The sequence below is a fragment of the Homo sapiens genome, chromosome 17, assembly GCF_000001405.40.
Source record: "Homo sapiens chromosome 17, GRCh38.p14 Primary Assembly".
Classification (NCBI taxonomy): domain Eukaryota; kingdom Metazoa; phylum Chordata; class Mammalia; order Primates; family Hominidae; genus Homo; species Homo sapiens.
The window spans coordinates 42,195,011-42,216,147 of record NC_000017.11 but is presented as its reverse complement, the minus strand read 5'-3'; the positions used below and the strand labels follow the sequence as shown (position 1 = coordinate 42,216,147).

Below are 21,137 nucleotides of genomic sequence, written 5' to 3'. Positions count from 1 at the left end.
TGAGGCTCGTGGGCGCTCAGCCTTCTCTTGTGTCTTTTTAGACCCTGTCCCTGCCAGTGGTGGTGATCGTTCATGGCAGCCAGGACAACAATGCGACGGCCACTGTTCTCTGGGACAATGCTTTTGCAGAGCCTGTGAGTGTATTCCTCGGGCATGTGGGTCCCAAAATCAATGCCGGTGTCATGAATCTCATTTATGTATTATCCTTTTAAAAAGCATAGGAAAAGGCCGGGTGCAGTGACTCACACTTGTAATCCCAGCACTTTGGGAGGCCGAGGCGGTTGGATCACCTGAGGTCAGGAGTTCGAGACCAGCCTGGCCAACATAGCAAAATCCTGTTTCTATTAAAAAATACCGAAAAATTAGCTGGGTGTGGTGGCACATGCCTGTAGTCCCAGCTACTTGGGAGGCTGAGGCACGACAATCACTTGAACCCGAGCGGCAGAGGTTGCAGTGAGCCGAGATCGCACCACTGCACTCCAGCCTGGGTGACAGAGTGAGACTCCATCTCAATAATAAAAAAAAAGCATAGGAAAAAAGACGCTGTTTTCTTTAGTGGGAGGCAGAATAGAAAGAATGTGGAAAGTGGAAAGAACATGGGCTTGACATCGGGCCAGGGTTTGAACTGAGACTCCACCATTTCCTCACTCCATGACCACATGGGCAGTTCACTTTACCTCTCTGAGCCTGAGTTTCCAGCAAGTGTCTGCAGCACAGGGATACTCTTGCTCTACAGCATTGTTAGGAAGATTAAATTAGATAACATAGAAAATGCTTGCCACACAGTCAGTACTCAGTAAATATTATTTTGAATCCTTGGGTGAAACTATGAATGGGATTTGGGACTCCTAGGTTCACTCCAGAGGTTAGATCTCTCCAGAGGCTTACTTTAGCATAGAAGTTGCTTCATACCCTCTTCCTTTCAATAAATGAAGATGCTGTTAAATGTCTTTTCCAAATTTTAGTTTCTGTGATTCATTCTAGGTCTCATGAAGAATGAGATACTTTGCCTCAAGGAAGATATAATTTGGTGGATTTATGCACCCAAACGCTATCTGAATCCCACTAGCATGCTGCTCGATGAGCATTTTAAAGATCTCATAGGCTGGGTGCGGTGGCTCATGCCTATAATCCCAGCACTCCAGGAGGCCAAGGCAGGCAGATCCCTTGAGCTCCAGACTAGCCTAGGCAGCATAGCAAAATCCTGTCTCTACAAAAAATACCAAAAAATTAGCCAGGCATGGTACACCAGCCTCTAGTCCCAGCTACTTGGGGGGGGCTGAGGCGGGAGGATCGCCTGAGCCCAGGAGGTCCAGGCTGCAGTGAGCCAAGATTGTGCCACTGTACTCCAGCCTGGGTGACAAAGCGACACCCTGTCTCAAAGAAAAAAATTTTTTTAGTAGGCAAAGGTCATTTGTTACATATTTCCAATAGAGATTAGTCCATAAAAGCATGATAAAAGGGTTATCATTTGGGACATAAGAGCATGTCCTTCTCTAAGTATATCCAACAAACCTTGATTATGTTTTGTTTTGTGGCTGTTAGAATATAGGATTTGACTGTTAGTTCAACAGCTCATTTACAAAACAGCATGGACAGCATGGGTTACCTTCCAGTTGTGTGTAAAGAAGGTGAAATGGAACCTTCTGGCTCACGTGGAGAGGCTTAACGTTTCCCAACACTCCTCTTTAGAGAAAAAGTATTTTACTGCAAAGGTGAGATTTTTAAGAGATTTACCATACTTCACTTACAAACTCTGAATCAGAAGCTCCTTTTTGAAACTGTCTGTCTGCCTCTTGTCCTGATAAGCCTCCTAGATAAGATTGCCACATCTCTTGTTTCCTTCCCTGCCTGTCCACAGATCTCACTCTCTGTGTACCTTTGGCATCTCCTGCACCATGTAATTACTCAAGTATCTTGTCTAAATAAATAAGCATTTTTAACATTCTCAGCTATGTTAATGACTACTTACATCTTATGCTATTTTTTTTTTTTTAATTTTTTTGAGACAGAGTCTTGCTCTGTCACCCAGGCTGGAGTACAGTGGCATTATCTCGGCTCACTGCAGCTTCTGCCTTCTGGATTCAAGCGATTCTCCTGCCTCAGCCTCCCGAGAAGCTGGGATTACAGGTGCATGCCACCACGCCCAATTAATTTTTTATATTTTTAGTAGAGACCAGGTCTCACCATGTTGGCCAGGCTGGTCTCGAATTCTTGACCTCAAGTGATCCACCCACCTCGGCCTCCCAAAGTGCTGGGATTATAGGCATGAGCCACTGCACCCAGCCGACCTTATGCTATGTTAAAAAAAAGACTTTCAGCTGGGCACGGTGGCTCACACCTGTAATCCCAGCACTTTGGGAGGCCGAGGTGGGTGGATCATTTGAGGTCAGGAATTCGAGACCAGCTTGGCCAACATGGTGAGACTCTCATCTCTACTAAAAATACAAAAATTAGCTGGGCGTGGTGGTGCGTGCCTATGATCCCAGCTACTCGGGAGGCTGAGGCAGGAGAATTGCTTGAACCTGGGAGGCAGAGGTTGTAGTGACCTGAGATGGTGCCACTGCACTCCAGCCTGGGCAACACAGTGAGACTCTGTCTCAAAAAAATAAAAAATAAAAAATAAATAATAAAGACTTGTGGCCAGGCACAGTGGTTTATGCCTGCAATCCCAGCACTTTGGGAGGCCAAGGCAAGCGGATCTCTTGAGCCCAGGAATTTGAGGCCAGCCTTGTCAACATAGCAAAACCCTGTCTCTACAAAAAACACACAAATTAGCCAGGCATGGTGGTGCACGCCTGTAGTCCCAGCTGTTTGGGAGGCTGAGGTAGGATAATTACTTGAGCTAAGGAGGCAGAAGTTGCAATGAGCCAAGATTGGGCCACTGTACTCCAGCCTGGATGACAGAGCGAGACCTTACCTAAAAAAAAAAATAATTGTGGAAATTTATTCTCCATATATATTTGCCTATGTGTCCTGTGGGTCAAATAACATAAGAACATTGCAGCATTGTTAGTAATAGCTAAAGATGAGGCTGTAACACTGATGCCCATCTATGGGGGTCTGGTGAAATTTCTTTATGTGCTGATGGGAGGTCTCCCAGATAGAGGATTAAGTGAAAAGAGGAAGATGCAGAACATGTGGATTTTGTGCTGTCATTTGTGAAGAAAAGGAAAAGGTATATGTCATTGCTGGCATGCATAGAATATCTTTGGTGGGATACACAAGAAACTGTGTTAGGTGCCTTTAAAGAAAAGAACTGGGTTGCTGGGAGACAGGGATAGGGAGTGACTTCACTGTGTAGCCGTCTGTGCTTTTTGAATTTTAAATCATGTGAAAATCACCTATTGAAAAAAGTGTTTGTAACAAAATAAAATGGAGTACTATGGCTGAACGGGTTGAAAAGCAGTTTATTAAAAGTTAATCTTCTAACCTATTTCTCAATAAAGCCATCCAACTCAAAATTTCCACTCTTCCATACCAAGTTGTTTTACTTTGAGCTAGAATTCTTGGCAGAAGGAGTCGAGGGCAATGATTCCACGTGTGTACACACATGCCGACACGTGTGCACACATACGCACACTCTCTCTGTTTGTACCTAGAGGACCAGTCTTTCAGATTTCTAAATTCCCAAGGTGTTTACAATCTAAGAGCCAGACCTTGGTTATGTTTTGGTTTGTGGCCGTTAGAACATAGGATTTGACTGTTAGTTCAGCAGCTCATTTACAAAACAGCATGGATAGCATGGGTTACCTTCTAGTTGTGTGTAAAGAAGGTGAAACGGAACCTTCTGAATTTCACAGAACCGTGTACCCCAGCAGAGTCTGAATTTATCCTCAGGCCCTGCAAGACAAATGTGTGTAACCACTCCCAGCCATCAGCGTTTTTCTTTTGTGGCTTGAGGGAATAAATCATGCAACTGTTTTCTCATCAGATTCTGGCCTCTCTCCCTCTCAGGGCAGGGTGCCATTTGCCGTGCCTGACAAAGTGCTGTGGCCACAGCTGTGTGAGGCGCTCAACATGAAATTCAAGGCCGAAGTGCAGAGCAACCGGGGCCTGACCAAGGAGAACCTCGTGTTCCTGGCGCAGAAACTGTTCAACAACAGCAGCAGCCACCTGGAGGACTACAGTGGCCTGTCTGTGTCCTGGTCCCAGTTCAACAGGGTGAGGAGCCCAGCTGCCAGCCGCTGTTAGATCAGTCCTTCCCAACCAGATGCTCTCAGGAGTCTCCCTGCCCTGGGCCCTTATTCTTCATGTCTCTAATAAAATGTACCGAAAGTAATAGAAGCTTCTGACTAGATGGACAACTTGAGAGTTACCCAGGTCACGTGTAGAAAATTACATCTTTGCATATTTTAAATAAGTTGACCTTTGTCTACAGTTAATGCATTTTCTTCCTTTGTAAAGGAAATAGAGCAAAGCAGATGTTAACATAGCTCATGAGAAGCAAAGCTTTTGAGGGGATGCGAACTCTGGGCCTCTCTCCCCTTTACTCTCTTATGTTCCCCATGTGTAATGCCAGATCAGGCTCCTATGGGACCCTCAACCCACAAAGAGGGATGCTGATGAAAGAAACTCCTCCTCTAGCATCTGCTAATTCAGACGTCACTTTGATTTTATTTTTATTCATTTTTTTTTTTTGAGACAGAGTTTCGCTCTTGTTGCCCAGGCTGGACTGCAATGGCACGATCTTGGCTCACCGCAACCGCCGCCTCCTGGTTTCAAGCGATTCTCCTGCCTCAGCCTCCCGAGTAGCTGGGATTACAGGCATGCGGCACCACGCCCCGCAATTTTGTATTTTTAGTGGAGACGGGGTTTCTCCATGTTGGTCAGGCTGGTCTCGAACTCCCGACCTCAGGTGATCTGCCCGCCTCGGCCTCCCAAAGTGCTGGGATTACAGGCGTGAGTCCACTGTGCCCACCCTATTTATTTTTGTTTATTTATTTATTTTTGAGATGGTGTCTCGCTCTGTCACAAGGAGTGCAGTGGTACATTCTGGGCTCACTGCAACCTCCGTCTCCCAGATTCAAGTGATTCTCCTGTCTCAGCCTCCTGAGTAGCCGGGATTACAGGCACCCGCCACCATGTCCAGCCAATTTTTGTATTTTTAGTAGAGACGGGGTTTCACCATGTTGGCCAGGATGGTCTCAAACTCCTGACCTCAAGTGATCTGCCTACCTCAGCCTCCCAAAGTGCTGGGATTACAGACGTGAGCCACCATGCCCGGCTATCACCTTGATTTGAATTTAATTTTTGTTTCTTTTCCTACACCCCCCACCCCCAAGGTGTTTTAAATGTTTAATTTGGAGCCTAACAACGTGCATTTCTCAGAAGCTCCCAGGTGACACTGATGCTTCTGGTCACAGACCACACATCGAAACTAGCAAGGGACGGGTCAGCCCAGTCCCAGGTGAAAGTGTCTGTAGCAGGAGCCCACTGGGTGCTGGTAACTGCAGTTTGGTATTTTCCCCTTCTTCCCTCTTTTCCTCTCCATGGGGCCATTAGGTAAAACTCAGGTAGGCGGGGATATTTGTATGCCTCTGACAAGGGTAGATGTTTGTTTCCCATTTAATTTTTCCAATTAAATATGTGTATAATATTCCAAGTGTTACTCTGGTGTTCTTATGTTCACTGTTGTATCTCCAACCAGGAGAATTTACCAGGACGGAATTACACTTTCTGGCAATGGTTTGACGGTGTGATGGAAGTGTTAAAAAAACATCTCAAGCCTCATTGGAATGATGGGTGAGAATCATTATTTCTTAAGGCGCCGACAGAGTCTGAAGGTCTTCTCTCTGGCATCGTAAGTCACACTCTGCTTCTGTCCTTTGTCCTTGGTGATCCAGGGCCATTTTGGGGTTTGTAAACAAGCAACAGGCCCATGACCTACTCATTAACAAGCCAGATGGGACCTTCCTCCTGAGATTCAGTGACTCAGAAATTGGCGGCATCACCATTGCTTGGAAGTTTGATTCTCGTGAGTGCCCCTCCCTTCTTATGTCCAAAGTTAGCTGCTTTCGTTACAAAATTATTTTAACAAATAATTTAGTGGGTACTTACTATTTGTTGAGGTCAGTACTAATTATGGGAAACATAAATGTATAGCCATGACATACTCATAATAAGGCAGCCTATGAAAAATACTATTATGGGAAACACAATTGCTAATTTGGTTATACATGAAAGTATATGGCAGCATGGTTACACATGAACATTTAACCATGACATGGCTACCTATGATACAAGAGTCCGTGCAGAATCTCAGTTGCTTCCCTCTTAAAATGTTTGCCTTATTGTACTACTCTGCATAAAGCTTATTTCAGTGAAGAATTTGATGATTTGGAGTTCTTACAGTAGTAAAAATATTCCTTTATCCTAATTAACATATGGATATTGCCATCAACCATTTCTACCCAAGATGTTAGTTCTTTTCTTTTTTTGAAACAGGGTCTCACTCTTTTGCCCGGGCTGGAGTGCAGCGGCACAAACATGGCTCACTGCAGCCTTGACCTCCTGGCCTCAAGCAGTCCTCCTCCCTTAGCCTCCCGATTAGCTGGGACCACAGACGTGCACCACCACACCCATCTAATTTTTAAATTTTTTGTATGTTGCCCAGGCTGGTCTCGAACTCCTGGGCTCAAACAATCCCCCACTTTGGCTTCCCAAAGTATTGGGATTACGGGCTTGAGCCACTGCACCAGGGCATCAGGAAAGTTAGTTCTCTCCTCTGACCCTCACAATAAGGGTAGCTTGCTGGTTCATTTTCTGTGAATTAAAGTTTTTAATAACTTTTGGCTGGGTGCGGTGGCTCATGCCTGTAATCCCAGCACTTTGGGAGCCTCAGGCAGGAGGATCTCTTGAGGCCAGGAGTTCAAGCCCAGCTTGGGCAACATAGTAAGACCCTGTCTCTAAGTAAATAAATAAATAAATAAGTTAATTAGGTGGGCATGGTGGTGCTCATGGTGTGCGCCTGTAGTCCCAGCTACTCTGGAGGGTGAGGTGGGATGATCACTTGACCCTGGGAGTTCAAGGTTACAGTGAGTCATGATCACATCACTGTACTCCAGCCTGGGCAACAGAGTAAGACCCTGTCTCTTAAAAGAAAAAAAAAAAAAGGCTGGGTGCGGTGGCTCACGCCTGTAATCCCAGCACTTTGGGAGGCCAAGGCAGGCGGATCATGAGGTCAGGAGATCGAGACCATCCTGGCCATCACAGTGAAACCCCCGTCTCTACTAAAAACACAAAAAAATTAGCCGGGTGTAGTTGTGGGCACCTGTAGTCCCAGCTACTTGGGAGGCTGAGGCAGGAGAATGGCGTGAACCCGGGAGGCGGAGCTTGCAGTGAGCCGAGATCGCGCCACTGCACTCCAGCCTGGGCAACAGAGCAAGACTCCATCTCGAAAAAAAAAAAATTCATCACTTTTAATAGCTCTTATGCTTTCTCTGGTTGTGGGCATGCTTCCTAGCTTTTATATATCTTTGTATGGGAAATCAGGGATTGGGGGCCAGTAAAAACTGTTTCTTCTACTGAGGGCTAGAATACTGTTTGAACTTGAAACGTCTGAGATCATTGGATCTCTTGGGAAGTGATTTTTGTATTACCTGCTTATCTACCCATGGCTTTTATTTTTATTTATTTATTTATTTATTTATTTTTGAGATGGGGTCTCTGTCACCCAGGCTGGAGTGCAGTGTCATGATCTCAGCTCACTGCAACCTCCACCTCCCAGCTTCAAGCCATTCTCCTACCTCAGCATAGTACCTGGGACTACGGATGAGTGCCACCACACTTGGCTGATTTTTGTATTTTTAGTAGAGACAGGGTTCATCATGTTAGCCAGGCTGGTCTTGAACTCCTGACCTCAGGTGATCCACCTGCCTAGGCCTCCAAAAGTGTGGGATTACAGGCATGAGCCAACATGCCTGGCCCCTACCCATGGCTTTTAAAACTATTTCAGGCCGGGCACGGTGGCTCACGCCTGTAATCCCAGCACTTTGGGAGGCTGAGGTGGGTGGATCATGAGGTCAGGAGATCAAGACCATCCTGGCTGACATAGGGAAACTCCATCTCTACTAAAAATACAAAATTAGCCAGGTGTGGTGGCGCGTGCCTGTAATCCCAGCTACTTGGGAGGCTGAGGCAGGAGAATCGCTTGAACCAGGGAGTTGGAGGTTGCAGTGAGCCAAGATCGCACCACTGCACTCCAACCTGGTAACAGAGTGAGACTCCGTCTCAAAATAAGTAAGTAAGTAAGTAAATAAATAAAAGTATTTCATCTATAACCCATGGTTATTTTTAAATGGAGATTTCTATTGGAGCCATTATAATGGCAAGCTTGAATTTATAGTATGTTGGGGTTTTAAGATTTCCTAATTCAGAAATCATGTTTAGAATGTGATTGTTCTGTTTATTGATCTAGAGGAAAGAATGTTTTGGAATCTGATGCCTTTTACCACCAGAGACTTCTCCATTCGGTCCCTAGCCGACCGCTTGGGAGACTTGAATTACCTTATCTACGTGTTTCCTGATCGGCCAAAAGATGAAGTATACTCCAAATACTACACACCAGTTCCCTGCGAGTCTGCTACTGGTAACAATGTTCGCATTCTGATTTGATTTTGTTGTGTGTGTGTGTGTGTGTGTGTGTGTGTGTGTGTGTGCATACCTGCGTGTGTTATCTCTCTTGTGTGAAAACCCACACAATTACCATTCAGTGAGAGCAGTTTGAGCATTTTCCAGGGCAGATGTAAACCTTGGGCTGGATTCTTCAGTCATACAGAAAACACATCTACCACTAACCCCAAATATCAAATTGAAGAAAACAAATTCTTTTTAATACAAGCTTAGATCAAACAAAATTAGGTAAAATTTTGTTTTTCATGACAGAGATGGTTTTATTGCTTTCTGAGTTTAGAAGTATTACATATTTATTATAAAATTTTCAGAAGACACATAAAGGCATAAAAAAGAAAACAGGCTGGGTACGGTGGGTCATGCCTGTAATCCCAGAACTTTGGGAGGCCAAGGCAGGCGGATCATTTGAGGTCAGGAGTTCCAGACCAGCCTGGCCAACATGGTGAAACCCTATCTCTACAAAAAATACAAAAATTAGGTGTGGTGGCAGGCACTTGTAATCGCAGGTACTCGGGAGGCTGAGGCATGAGAATCACTTGAACCCAGGAGGTGGAGATTGCAGTGAGCTGAGACCACGCCACCACACTCCAGCCTGGGCAATAGGGTGAGACTCAGTCTCAAAAAAAAAAAAAAAAGGAAGGTCGGGCGTGGTGGCTCACACCTATAATCCCAGCACTTTGGGAGGCTGAGGCAGGCAGATCACCTGAGGTCGGGAGTTCAAGACCAGCCTGACCAACGTGGAGAAACCCCACCTCTACTGAAAATACAAAATTAGCCTGGCATGGTGGCGCATGCCTGTAATCCCAGCTACTCGGGAAGGCTGAGGCAGGAGAATTGCTTGAACCCGAGAGGTGGAAGTTGTGGTGAGCTGAAATCGTGCCATTGCACTCCAGCCTGGGCAACAAGAGTGAAACTCTGTCTCAAAAACAAAAGAAAAGAAAACAAAAAAACAGATACCACACAACATCTCTCATCTAGAGATTAACCTCTATGGATGATTTAGTGACTATTCTTGCACTCTATATATAGATATGTATTATACATTGCATCACCCGTTGCTTGAACTTCCTGTGTGGAGGTTATCTAGCAGCAGAACGAAGACCATAAACAAGGAAACATATTCAGGCCGGGCGCGGTGGCTCATGCCTGTAATCCCAGACTTTTGGGAGGCCGAGGCAGGCATATCACCTGAGGTCAGGAGTTTGAAACCAGCCTGGCCAACATGGTGAAACCCCATCTCTACTAAAAATACAAAAAGTAGTCAGGTGTGGTGGTGGGCGCCTGTAATTCCAGCTACTTGGGAGACTGAGGCAGGAGAATCGCTTGAACCAGGGAGGCAGGAGAATTGCTTGAACCAGGGAGGCAGAAGTTGCAGTGAGCCGAGACTATGCCACTGCATTCCAGTCTGGTGACAGAGCGAGACTCCATCTCAAAAACAAACAAAACACAAATATATTAATTTAGTGATGGGCGCCCTGAAGACAAATAAAGCAAGGTAGAGGGATAGAGAAGTGGCAGGGAGGAGAGTGGAGGTGTTATTTTACTAGAGTGGTCAAGGAGGGTTTCTCTGAGGACATGTTTGTTTTTTTTGTTGTTGTTTTGTTTGTTTGTTTGTTTGAGATGGGGTCTCACTTTGTTGCCCAGGCTGGAGTACATTGCTCACTGCAGTCTCAAACTGCTAGACTCAAGGGATCCTCCCACCTCAGCCTCCCACATAGTTGGGACTACAGGCATGCACCACCAATCCTGGTTAATTATTTTATTTTTATAGATATGGGGTCTTGCTGTGTTTCCCAGACTGGTCTCAAATTCCTGGGCTCAAGCAATGTTCCTTCCTCAGTCCCCCAAGGTTCTGGGATTATAGGCATGAGCCACTCTACCTAGCCAGGATGTGATGTTTGAAAAGACCTGAATGAAGTGAGGAAGCTAGCCATACAAAGATCTAGAGAAAAACATTGTATGCCAAGAGAACAAGTACAAAAATCCTGGGTTGAGAATGGCCATGTCTGGAAAGCCTCAGGAGGGCCAGGGAGGCTGGAGCCTCTTGAGCAGGGAAGATAAGTGGTAGGAACTGAGGTCAGGACACTCCAGCCTTGGAGTTCAGGGTGAAAGGTTGGAGTCTAGACCATATCATATGTAATTTTTTGTGACTTTTTTTTTTTACTTGGAAATATATCCTAGGTAGCTGGGCATGGTGGCTCATGCCTGTAATCCCAACACTTTGGGAGGCCAAGGCAGGTGGATCACTTGAGGTCAGGAGTTTGAGACCAGCCTGGCCAACATGGTGAAACCCCATCTCTACTAAAAAACATACAAAAATTAGCCGGGCATGGTGGCAGGTACCTGTAATCCCACCTACTCAGGAGGCTGAGGCAAGAGAATCACTTGAACCCGGGAGGCGGAGGTTGCAGTGAGCCAAGATCACACCACTGCACTCCAGCCTGGGCAACAGAGCGAGACTCTGCCTCAAAAAAAAGAAATATATCCTATGCAGAGTTACAGCTCAGTAAATGTAATCTTCCAACCTCATTTTGATGACTGCATACAATCCCACTGTATGGTGAGTTACATGTTGGTTATTTAAGATACTTATAATTTGGGCCTGGGCACAGTGGCTCATGCCTGTAATTCCAGCACATTAGAAGGCGGAGGAGGAAGGATTGCTTGAGCCTAGGAGTTTGAGACCAGCCTGGGCAACATAGTGAGACTCCATCTCTACAAAAAAGAAAAAGTTAGCTGCGCTTGGTGGCGCATGCCTGTAGTCCCAGCTACTCAGAAGGCAGAGGCTGGAAGATTGGTTGAGCCCAGGAATTTGAGGCTGCAATGAGCTATGATTGTGCCATTGCACTGTAGCCTATGTGACAGAGTAAGACCCTGTCTCAGAAAAAAATAAAATCCTATTTCTGGCAGCATTTCTTTGTTTTTAACTTCTTAGCCAATCTATAAAATACTCTGTACACTGTAAAGCACAAAAAACATGTTATGAAAAGGTCGCTCCTGACACTTGAAGCCCTAGAAGAAGATTAGGGTAATAAGCAATTGGTGAACCCTGCAGCGTTTCACCCTCTTGGGCTACTTAAATGACAAGCTCCTTGTCCTATAATCATAGTGTGATCGTCCTTGCCTAGTATAATTAACTTTGTACTGATTCCCATATTCACGTACCCAGAAACAAGACTTCATTCTCCCATGTCAGATAATCACATTCTTACCACCTGCTTACCTGGATTTCCATAGTCAGCCTTCTGAAAAGGTAACTGTGGTTGACCAGATCACGTGCAGGTTTATCTGCTCATCTGCCACATCCCAGTGGGGATTCTGTGGGAAGCAAAGGACACATCGCATTCTTGGCACCAACAGCACTCACTGGGACTAGTGACATCAAAGTACCCCAAATGCAGAAACACCAGGCGTGAAGGAGCGTGCAGGTGCTGGGAAAAGTAGCCTTCCCTTTCCTGAAAGACTAGACACTCAGAGTTAGAGGAACCTCAGACATCATCAGATCAGATCAGCGGCTCTCCAGTGCCTAGGCCTTTCCATTAGATCCCTGACGTGTATGCACCTCCTGCTTGAAAACCTCCGGTGATGGCCAGGCACCGTGGCTCACACCTGTAATCTCAGCACTTTGGGAGGCCAAGGCGGGTGGATCACTTGAGGTCAGGGGTTCGAGACCAGCCTGACCAACATGGAGAAACCCCATCTCTACCAAAAATATAAAAAGTAGCTGGGCATGGTGGTGCGCACCTGTAATCCCAGCTACTCGGGAGGCTGAAGCATGAGAATCACTTGAACCCAGAAGGCAGAGGTTGCAGTGAGCTGAGATCGCACCACTGCACTCCAGTGTGGGCAACAGAGTAAGACTCTGTCAAAAAAGAAAAAAAAGAAAACCTCCAGTGACAAGGAAATCAGTCCTTCCTAAGATAAATCATTTCTTTTCCTGGCAGTTCTACTTAGAACATTCTTCCCTGCATGACTGAACATTTGTCCTCTTATGACCTGCCCCTCCTGGTCCTGATTTTATCCCCTGGGTCAGGTAGAACAAATCCTGTCTCTCTGCTGCATCTTGGACTTTAAGCTTTTCAAGGTGTTTTTTTTTTTTTAATTAGTATGCAATTAGTGCTTGACTTAGATTTGTATTGAAGTACATAGTTTCCATGGTTTGAAGAATTTATTGAAACATCCAAGCCAATTTGGAAGATATCTTGAATTTCAGTTTTAGTGCTGACCTTCTCCTCTACCAGGTCTTCCTAACAGATTGAAATATTAAATGCTTGGCCAAGTGCGGTGGCTTATGCCTGTAATCCCAGCACCTTGGGGGGCCAAGGTGGGCAGATAACTTGAGGTCAGGAGTTAGAAAACAGCCTGGGTGACATGGTGAAACCCCATCTCTACTAAAAATACAAAAATTAGCCAAAGTGTGGTGGTGTACCTGTAATCCAGCTACTCAGGAGGCTGAGGCATCGGAATCATTTGAACCTGGGAGGCGGAGGCTGCAGTGAGCCGAGATTGCACCACCGTACTCCAGCCTGGATGAGAGAGTGAGACTGTTTCAAAAAACAAAACAAAAAAATATTAAGTGCTTGTGTCATATCCTTAGATAAGTTAGGTGGTTGTGTTCTGTCCTAAGAAAAGATGTGATTCATAAGGAAGATCACATTTTTGTTTCACTTGAGAACTTTGATTTACTACATTCTTCCCTTGGCAGCTAAAGCTGTTGATGGATACGTGAAGCCACAGATCAAGCAAGTGGTCCCTGAGTAAGTGTCCAGGTGGCTGTGGCTCTCCTTCTGCCTCTTTCCTCCTCCCCCAGACCCTGCCTCCCATCCTTATCCTGGCCCAGCTTTCCGCTCCCCCGGGGAAACTGTCTCAGCCCTGGGGAAGGACCTGGGCTTGGTGATGCTATGCCAGTACCTGAGGCCCCACTCCTGTAGCTGGAGCCCCAGGGCCGAGTGGGGCACTTTGTCCTTCTACACCCTGAGAAAGACAAAGATACCCCTTGGTCCCCTCCCCAAGTCAGCTGCCCTGGCCTCCCTGGCAGCTGAAGCTCTGTTCTCTTCCTTCTGCAGGTTTGTGAACGCATCTGCAGATGCCGGGGGCGGCAGCGCCACGTACATGGACCAGGCCCCCTCCCCAGCTGTGTGTCCCCAGGCTCACTATAACATGTACCCACAGAAGTAGGTGGCATTCTTGTGGGGGTCCACAGGGGAGGAACTGGGGGCTTGGCCCCAGGCTGGACCCCTGGAGGGCTGGGGTCAAAGGAATCCAGAGCTCCTCTAGGTCTGAGACCACACAGCCCTGGCCCGGGCTCTGGCCTTTGGGAGGGAGAGATTTGACCAGAAGTGATTGGTGGTTTAGAGTCGGGTTGGGCAAATGTCATCTGTTCCCCTCTCTCAATATGGAGATTTTTCTTGCTCTAAGGACTGAGTGGAGTTGTGATGTGTCTGGACAGCCGGTGTGAGAGGTAACAGGGGAGGGTATTTCAGTCTGAGTTGCTGTACAGCCAGCTGTTTGAATGGTTGTTCTTTTCCCATGAAGCCCCAGGCTGAGGGCATAGGCTGGCTCAGACTGCTCCCCTGGTGGCCTGTGGGGCTTGGGGTGGTCTCTGGCAGGCTTTCCCCTTCCCTTCATCCCTCTTCTTTCCCTCCCAAGCCCTGACTCAGTCCTTGACACCGATGGGGACTTCGATCTGGAGGACACAATGGACGTAGCGCGGCGTGTGGAGGAGCTCCTGGGCCGGCCAATGGACAGTCAGTGGATCCCGCACGCACAATCGTGACCCCGCGACCTCTCCATCTTCAGCTTCTTCATCTTCACCAGAGGAATCACTCTTGTGGATGTTTTAATTCCATGAATCGCTTCTCTTTTGAAACAATACTCATAATGTGAAGTGTTAATACTAGTTGTGACCTTAGTGTTTCTGTGCATGGTGGCACCAGCGAAGGGAGTGCGAGTATGTGTTTGTGTGTGTGTGTGTGTGTGTGTGTGTGTGCGTGTTTGCACGTTATGGTGTTTCTCCCTCTCACTGTCTGAGAGTTTAGTTGTAGCAGAGGGGCCACAGACAGAAGCTGTGGTGGTTTTTACTTTGTGCAAAAAGGCAGTGAGTTTCGTGAAGCCTGGAAGTTGGCCATGTGTCTTAAGAGTGGCTGGACTTTGACATGTGGCTGTTTGAATAAGAGAAGGACAAAGGGAGGAGAAAGCACATGTGCTCCAGTGAGTCTTCGTCACTCTGTCTGCCAAGCAATTGATATATAACCGTGATTGTCTCTGCTTTTCTTCTGAAATGTAGATAACTGCTTTTTGACAAAGAGAGCCTTCCCTCTCCCCCACCCCTGTGTTCTTGGGTAGGAATGGGAAAAGGGGCAACCTACAAAGATTGTTGGGGCAAGGGAAGTCACAAGCTTTCGGATGGGCGGTGGCTTTTCACAAAACATTTAGCTCATCTTATTCTCTCTTTGTCCTCTCTCCCCTCCTGCCCGCCCGCACCCTGGAATTGCCACTCAGTTCCTCTGGGTGTGCACATATGTTTGGAGAAATAGAGGAGAGAAAAGAGGGCCACGTAACTGAGAGCTTACAGTGCCAATGCCGTTTGTGTTCTGGCCAGAGTGGAGTGCGCAGCCCTGACTCCCAGGCGCTGAGATTGTTGCCTGGTTACCCAGGAAGCTGCTGTTCCGGCTGCCCAGCCTTTCTCTGAGCCAGCGGATGCACAGTCCGTGGCCTTCTTCAGGCTTATTGATGATGCTTTTTGCAAATGTTGAATCATGGTTCTGTTTCTAAGTTGGATCTTTTTTGTTTTCTCCTTGCCACCCTAATTTGACATCAAAATTCTCTCTTGTGCATTGGGCCCTGGGTCATTCAAACCCAGGTCACCTCATTCCCCTTCTCTGTTCACACCTAATGTCTTGAAGAGTAGGTAGCAGCAGTGTGGGCTGAACCTAGGCCAGCTTGCTTAGCGGGTCACCCTGCTGTGAAGTCCTGGCAGGTGTTGGTAATGTGTGGAAATGCAGTCAGCAAGTTTGCTGGGGAGTTTGATAAAAGTATAAAACAAAACAAAAAAAGCCTCGGTATAATTTTGTTCCACGACTTCTTCTGTAGCTTTACACCAGAAGGAAGGAATGGGCTACAGCAGGTAGTGGAGGAAGAGGGGGGTGAGCAGGTGTATTAAAATAGCTTACGGGTAAGGCCTAAAAGGTCACCCCTCGGCCCCCTCTCCAAAAGAAGGGCATGGGCACCCCCAGGAGAGGATGGCCCCAAAAACCTTATTTTTATACATGAGAGTAAATAAACATATTTTTTTTACAAAAATAACTTCTGAATTTATCAGTGTTTTGCCGTTAAAAATATTCCTCTATAGTAAATTATTTATTGGAAGATGACTTTTTTAAAGCTGCCGTTTGCCTTGGCTTGGTTTCATACACTGATTTATTTTTCTATGCCAGGCAGTAGAGTCTCTCTGCCTCTGAGGAGCAGGCTACCCGCATCCCACTCAGCCCCTCCCTACCCCTCAAGATTTGATGAAAATTCCAACCATGAGGATGGGTGCATCGGGGAAGGGTGAGAAGGAGAGCCTGCCTGCTCAGGGATCCAGGCTCGTAGAGTCACTCCCTGCCCGTCTCCCAGAGATGCTTCACCAGCACCTGCCTCTGAGACCTCGCTCTCTGTTCCAGCAACCCTGGTTGGGGGGTCAGACTTGATACACTTTCAGGTTGGGAGTGGACCCACCCCAGGGCCTGCTGAGGACAGAGCAGCCAGGCCGTCCTGGCTCACTTTGCAGTTGGCACTGGGTTGGGGAGGAAGAGAGCTGATGAGTGTGGCTTCCCTGAGCTGGGGTTTCCCTGCTTGTCCAGTTGTGAGCTGTCCTCGGTGTTACCGAGGCTGTGCCTAGAGAGTGGAGATTTTTGATGAAAGGTGTGCTCGCTCTCTGCGTTCTATCTTCTCTCTCCTCCTTGTTCCTGCAAACCACAAGATAAAGGTAGTGGTGTGTCTCGACCCCATCAGCCTCTCACCCACTCCCAGACACACACAAGTCCTCAAAAGTTTCAGCTCCGTGTGTGAGATGTGCAGGTTTTTTCTAGGGGGTAGGGGGAGACTAAAATCGAATATAACTTAAAATGAAAGTATACTTTTTATAATTTTTCTTTTTAAAACTTGGTGAAATTATTTCAGATACATATTTTAGTGTCAAGGCAGATTAGTTATTTAGCCACCAAAAAAAAGTATTGTGTACAATTTGGGGCCTCAAATTTGACTCTGCCTCAAAAAAAAGAAATATATCCTATGCAGAGTTACAGTCACAAAGTTGTGTATTTTATGTTACAATAAAGCCTTCCTCTGAAGGGATGGTATTGAGTCCTGTTTTTACTTTTTTCTGTCACATGCCAAGGGAGGGCAGCTTGAACACGGAAAAGTTTCAAGTCATCAGCGTGACCCTGAAAAAGGGAACTGGTTGGGTGGTTGGGAGTTGGCTGCCTCAGAGGGCACGTCATTAGCTCTGATGGCAGATGGGGCCTTTCATACCTTCCTGCTCATATGATGTTTTGAAAATAAGAATGATGGTCTCCTAGCCTCCTGACTCCAGAAAGCTTGTTAGCCAGGATGGTCTCGATCTCCTGACCTCATGATCTGCCCACCTCAGCCTCCCAAAGTGCTGGGATTACAGGCGTGAGCCACTACGCCCGGCTGAAAGCCTGTCCTTAAGATTCAGCACATTTAGAGTACCTGACCCTGAGTTCAGCGTTGTGTGTGGGATGAGAAATGGTGCCTTCCCTGCAGAGGCTCACAGTTGGAGAAAGGCAGCTACCACAACTGATTATGCTAGGATATCGCTTCCTGCTGCAATCAAGGCATCCCAAAGTCATTATGCAAAAGAACATGCAGGAAGGCCACTGAGCAACTCAAGCTTTTTTTTTATTTTATTTTTTTATTTTAATTGAGTAGCTGGGATTACAGGCGCCACCACTCCCGGCTAATTTTTGCATTTTTAGTAGGGACGGGGTTTCACCATGTTGGCCAGGCTGGTCTGGACCTCCTGACCTCAGGTGATCCACCTGCCTTGGCCTCCCAAAATGCTGGGATTACAGGCGTGAACCACCATGCCCAGCCTGGAGCTGGCTCTTAAGGAACAAATAGGGCCGGGCACGGTGGCTCATGCCTGTAATCCCAGCATTTTGGGACGCCAAGGCAGGTGGATCACCTGAGGTCGGGAGTTCGAGACCAGTCTGGCCAACATGATGAAACCCCGTCTCTACTAAAAATACACAAAAATTAGCTGGGCGTGGTGGCACGCGCCTGTAATCCCAGCTACTTGGGAGGCTGAGGCAGGAGAATCGCTTGAACCCGGCAGGCAGAGATTGCAGTGAGCCGAGATCATGCCATTGCATTCCAGCCTGGACAACAGAGCAAGACTCTGTCTCAAATTAAAAAAAAACAAAAAACCCAGCCATTCCACTTGTAGGTATCTACATAAGAACCATGAGAACATATATGTACAGAAACACTTGTGACAAATGTTCATAACAGCATTATGCATAATAGCCAAAGGGCAGAAACAACCCAAATGTCCATCAACTGATGAATAAACAAAATGTATTATGGTATATCTGTACAATGGAATATACGGCAATAAAAAGGAATGAAGTGCTGACACACAGGACATGATGTTGTCACGGATGAACCTTGACAATATCATGCTAGATGAAAGAAGCCAGGCCGGGCACGGTGGCTCATGACTGGGACTCCAGCACTTTGGGAGGCTGAGGCGAGGGATCACTTGAGTGCAGCAGTTCAAGACCAGCTTGGACAACACGGTGAAACCCCATCTCTACAAAAAAATACAAAAATTAGCTGGATGTGGTGGTGCACCCCTGTAGTCCCACCTACTCAGGAGGCTGAGGTGGGAGGATCACTTGAGCTGTGATCATGCTACTGCACTCCAGCCTGGGTGACAGAGCGAGGAAAAAGAAAAGAAGCCAAGTACAAAAGACCGCATATTATATGATGCCATTTATAGGAAATGTCTAGGATAGGCAAATCTATGGAGACAGAAAGTAAATTTGAGGTTGCCTAGAGGCTGGGAAGGAGTTTGGAGGTAATAGTGAAAGGATACAGGGTTTGGGGGTTTTTTTGTTTTGTTTTTTTTTTTGTTTGTTTTTCTTGAGACAGAGTCTCGCTCTGTCACCCAGACTGGAGTGCAGTGGCGCCATCTCGGCTCACTACAACCACTGCCTCCCAGTTTCAAGCGATTCTCCCACCTCAGCCTCCCAAGTAGCTGGGATTATAGGCGCCGGCCACCAGACCCTGCTAATTTTTGTATTTTTAGTAGAGACAGTGTTTTGCCATGTTGGCCAGGCTGGTCTTGAACTCCTGACTTCAGGTGATCCACCTGCCTTGGCCTCCCAAAGTGCTGGGATTATAGGTGTGAGCCACCACGCCCAGCCTGAGTTTGGGGTTTTTTATTTTATTTTATTTTATTTTATTTTATTTTATTTTATTTTATTTTATTTAACGAATTGGGCAGTCTCCTGAGGCACAGTAGGCTCAGAGAGACTCTGCAGGGTTTGTTTTTGAGGTAAGGAAAATGTTATTATCTGTGGTGTTGGTTGCACATATCTCTGGATATACTAGATCTTGAATTGTACACTAAATGGGTGATTTGTATGGTGTGTGAATTATATCTAATAAAGCTGTTACTGGGCCAGGTCTAGTGGCTTACACCTGTAATTCCAGCACTTTGGAAGGCCAAGGTAGGAGGATCGCTGAGACCGGGAGTTCCAGACCAGTCTGGGCAACATAGTAAGACCCCCTGTCTCTACAAAAAAAAAAAAAAAATGTTTTTAATTAGCTGGGTGTGGTGGCACATGCCTGTAGTCCTAGCCACTCAGAGGCTGGGGTAGGAGGATTGCTTGATCCCCGGAGTTCAAGGTTGCAATGAGCTGTGACCAGGCCACTGAACTCCAGCCTGGACAACAGAGCAAGACCCTGTCTTTAAATAAATAATAAAAGCAAATGCAAGATCTCAGCGAGAAAAAACGTGAAAGTGAGGTGAGTTAGCCAGAGTGAGAACAGACCTGTTGAAAGAAGCTCAGCTGTGAAGGGAAGAGAGGTGCTCAGCAAGTAGTAGCTCTCTTCTCAAAGGTATCCAGAGGCAAGTAAGGGGAGAAAGGGAGTGGTTTTAGTGTTTTGAGAGCCTAGGTCAAGAACACACCAGCCTGGGCAACATAGGGAGCTCTCTCGTCTCTACAAAAAATAAAATTAGTTGAGCGTAGTGGTGCGTACCTGTAGTTCCAGTCCCTTGGGAGGCTGAGACAGGAGGATCTCTTGAGCCCAGGAGGTTGAGGTTGCAGTGAGCTATGATCGCACCACTGCACTCCAGCCTGGGCAATAGATCAAGACCCTGTCTCAAAAACAAAAAACAAAAAAAGAGAAGTTTGTAATTTTCCTTGGGATAAAGGCAACAGGCTAACACAGATGGTCACCCAGTAACCAGGTAAAGTTAAGATAAACTATATGTGACTGGCTGGGTGCAGTGGCTCAGGCCTGTAATCCCAGCACTTTGGGAGGCCGAGGCAGGTGGATCACTTGAGGTCAGGAGTTTGAGACCAGCCTGGCCAACATGGTGACATGGTGAAACCCCGTCTCTACTAAAAATACAAAAAATTAGCTGGGTGTGGTGATGCGTGCCTGTAATCCCAGCTACTCGGGAGGCTGAGGCAGGAGAATTGCTTGAATCTGGGAGGCGGAGGTTGCAGTGAGCTAAGATCGTGCCATTGCACTCCAGCCTGGGCAACAAGAATAGAACTCTGCCAAAAAAACAAAAAAAAAGAAGTTTGTAATTTTCCTTGGGATAAAGCCAGCAAGCTAACACAGATGTTCACCTAATAACCATGTAAAGTTAAGATAAACTATGTGACTGGCTGGGTGTGGTGGCTCACACCTGTAATCCCAGCACTTTGGGAGGCCAAGGAGGGTAGATCACTTGAGGTCAAGAGTTTGAGACCAGCCTGGCCAACATGGTGAAACCCCATCTCTACTGAAAATACAAAAATTAGCTGGGCGTGGTGGCACACACCTGTAATCCCAGCTGCTTGGGAGGCTGGGGCAGCAGAATCGCTTGAACCTGGGAAGTGGAGGTTGCAGTGAGCTGAGATTGTGCCACTGCACTCCAGCCTGGGCAACAGAGCAAGACTGTGTCTCAAAAAAAAAAAAAAAAAAAAAAGATAAACTATATGTGACAAGTCCTCTTACTTGAGGACTCGTTATTGTTTATCTTGAAAACGTGTATGTAATGGGTTGTATGCGCTTGGCTATACAAAAAAGTAAGATTTCCTCCCTTCTTTGCAAGCTCTTAGCAGATCACCTGTCATGTACATCACATTGTGGTTGAATGCTTATTCAATAATAAAATTGTTTTCTTTCTCAACTACCTTGAGGGAGAGGATGGGGTTTTTTTTGTTGTTGTTTTTGTTTTGTTTGTTTTTGAGACGGAGTTTCGCTCATTGCCCAGGCTG

The 21,137-nt window shown here is 46.5% G+C and overlaps 1 protein-coding gene across 6 annotated transcripts in view; it reads left to right on the top strand.

Moving 5' to 3' along the window:
* The window catches only part of STAT5B (signal transducer and activator of transcription 5B), an 89,194-nt gene extending 72,223 nt beyond the window's left edge, over positions 1-16,971 (top strand). For 5 of the 6 annotated variants that reach the window (XM_047436593.1, XM_024450897.2, XM_017024977.2 and 2 more), the window contains 8 exons: positions 42-134; positions 3,958-4,164; positions 5,651-5,745; positions 5,847-5,977; positions 8,420-8,590; positions 13,340-13,391; positions 13,701-13,808; positions 14,284-16,971. In XM_047436593.1, the coding sequence (XP_047292549.1) occupies positions 42-134; positions 3,958-4,164; positions 5,651-5,745; positions 5,847-5,977; positions 8,420-8,590; positions 13,340-13,391; positions 13,701-13,808; positions 14,284-14,410 (984 nt within the window). In that variant the 3' untranslated portion in view covers positions 14,411-16,971. Of the gene's footprint in view, positions 1-41; positions 135-1,545; positions 1,617-3,957; positions 4,165-5,650; positions 5,746-5,846; positions 5,978-8,419; positions 8,591-13,339; positions 13,392-13,700; positions 13,809-14,283 lie in introns of those variants that run through there. The other variant, XM_005257626.5, reaches the window with a different exon arrangement.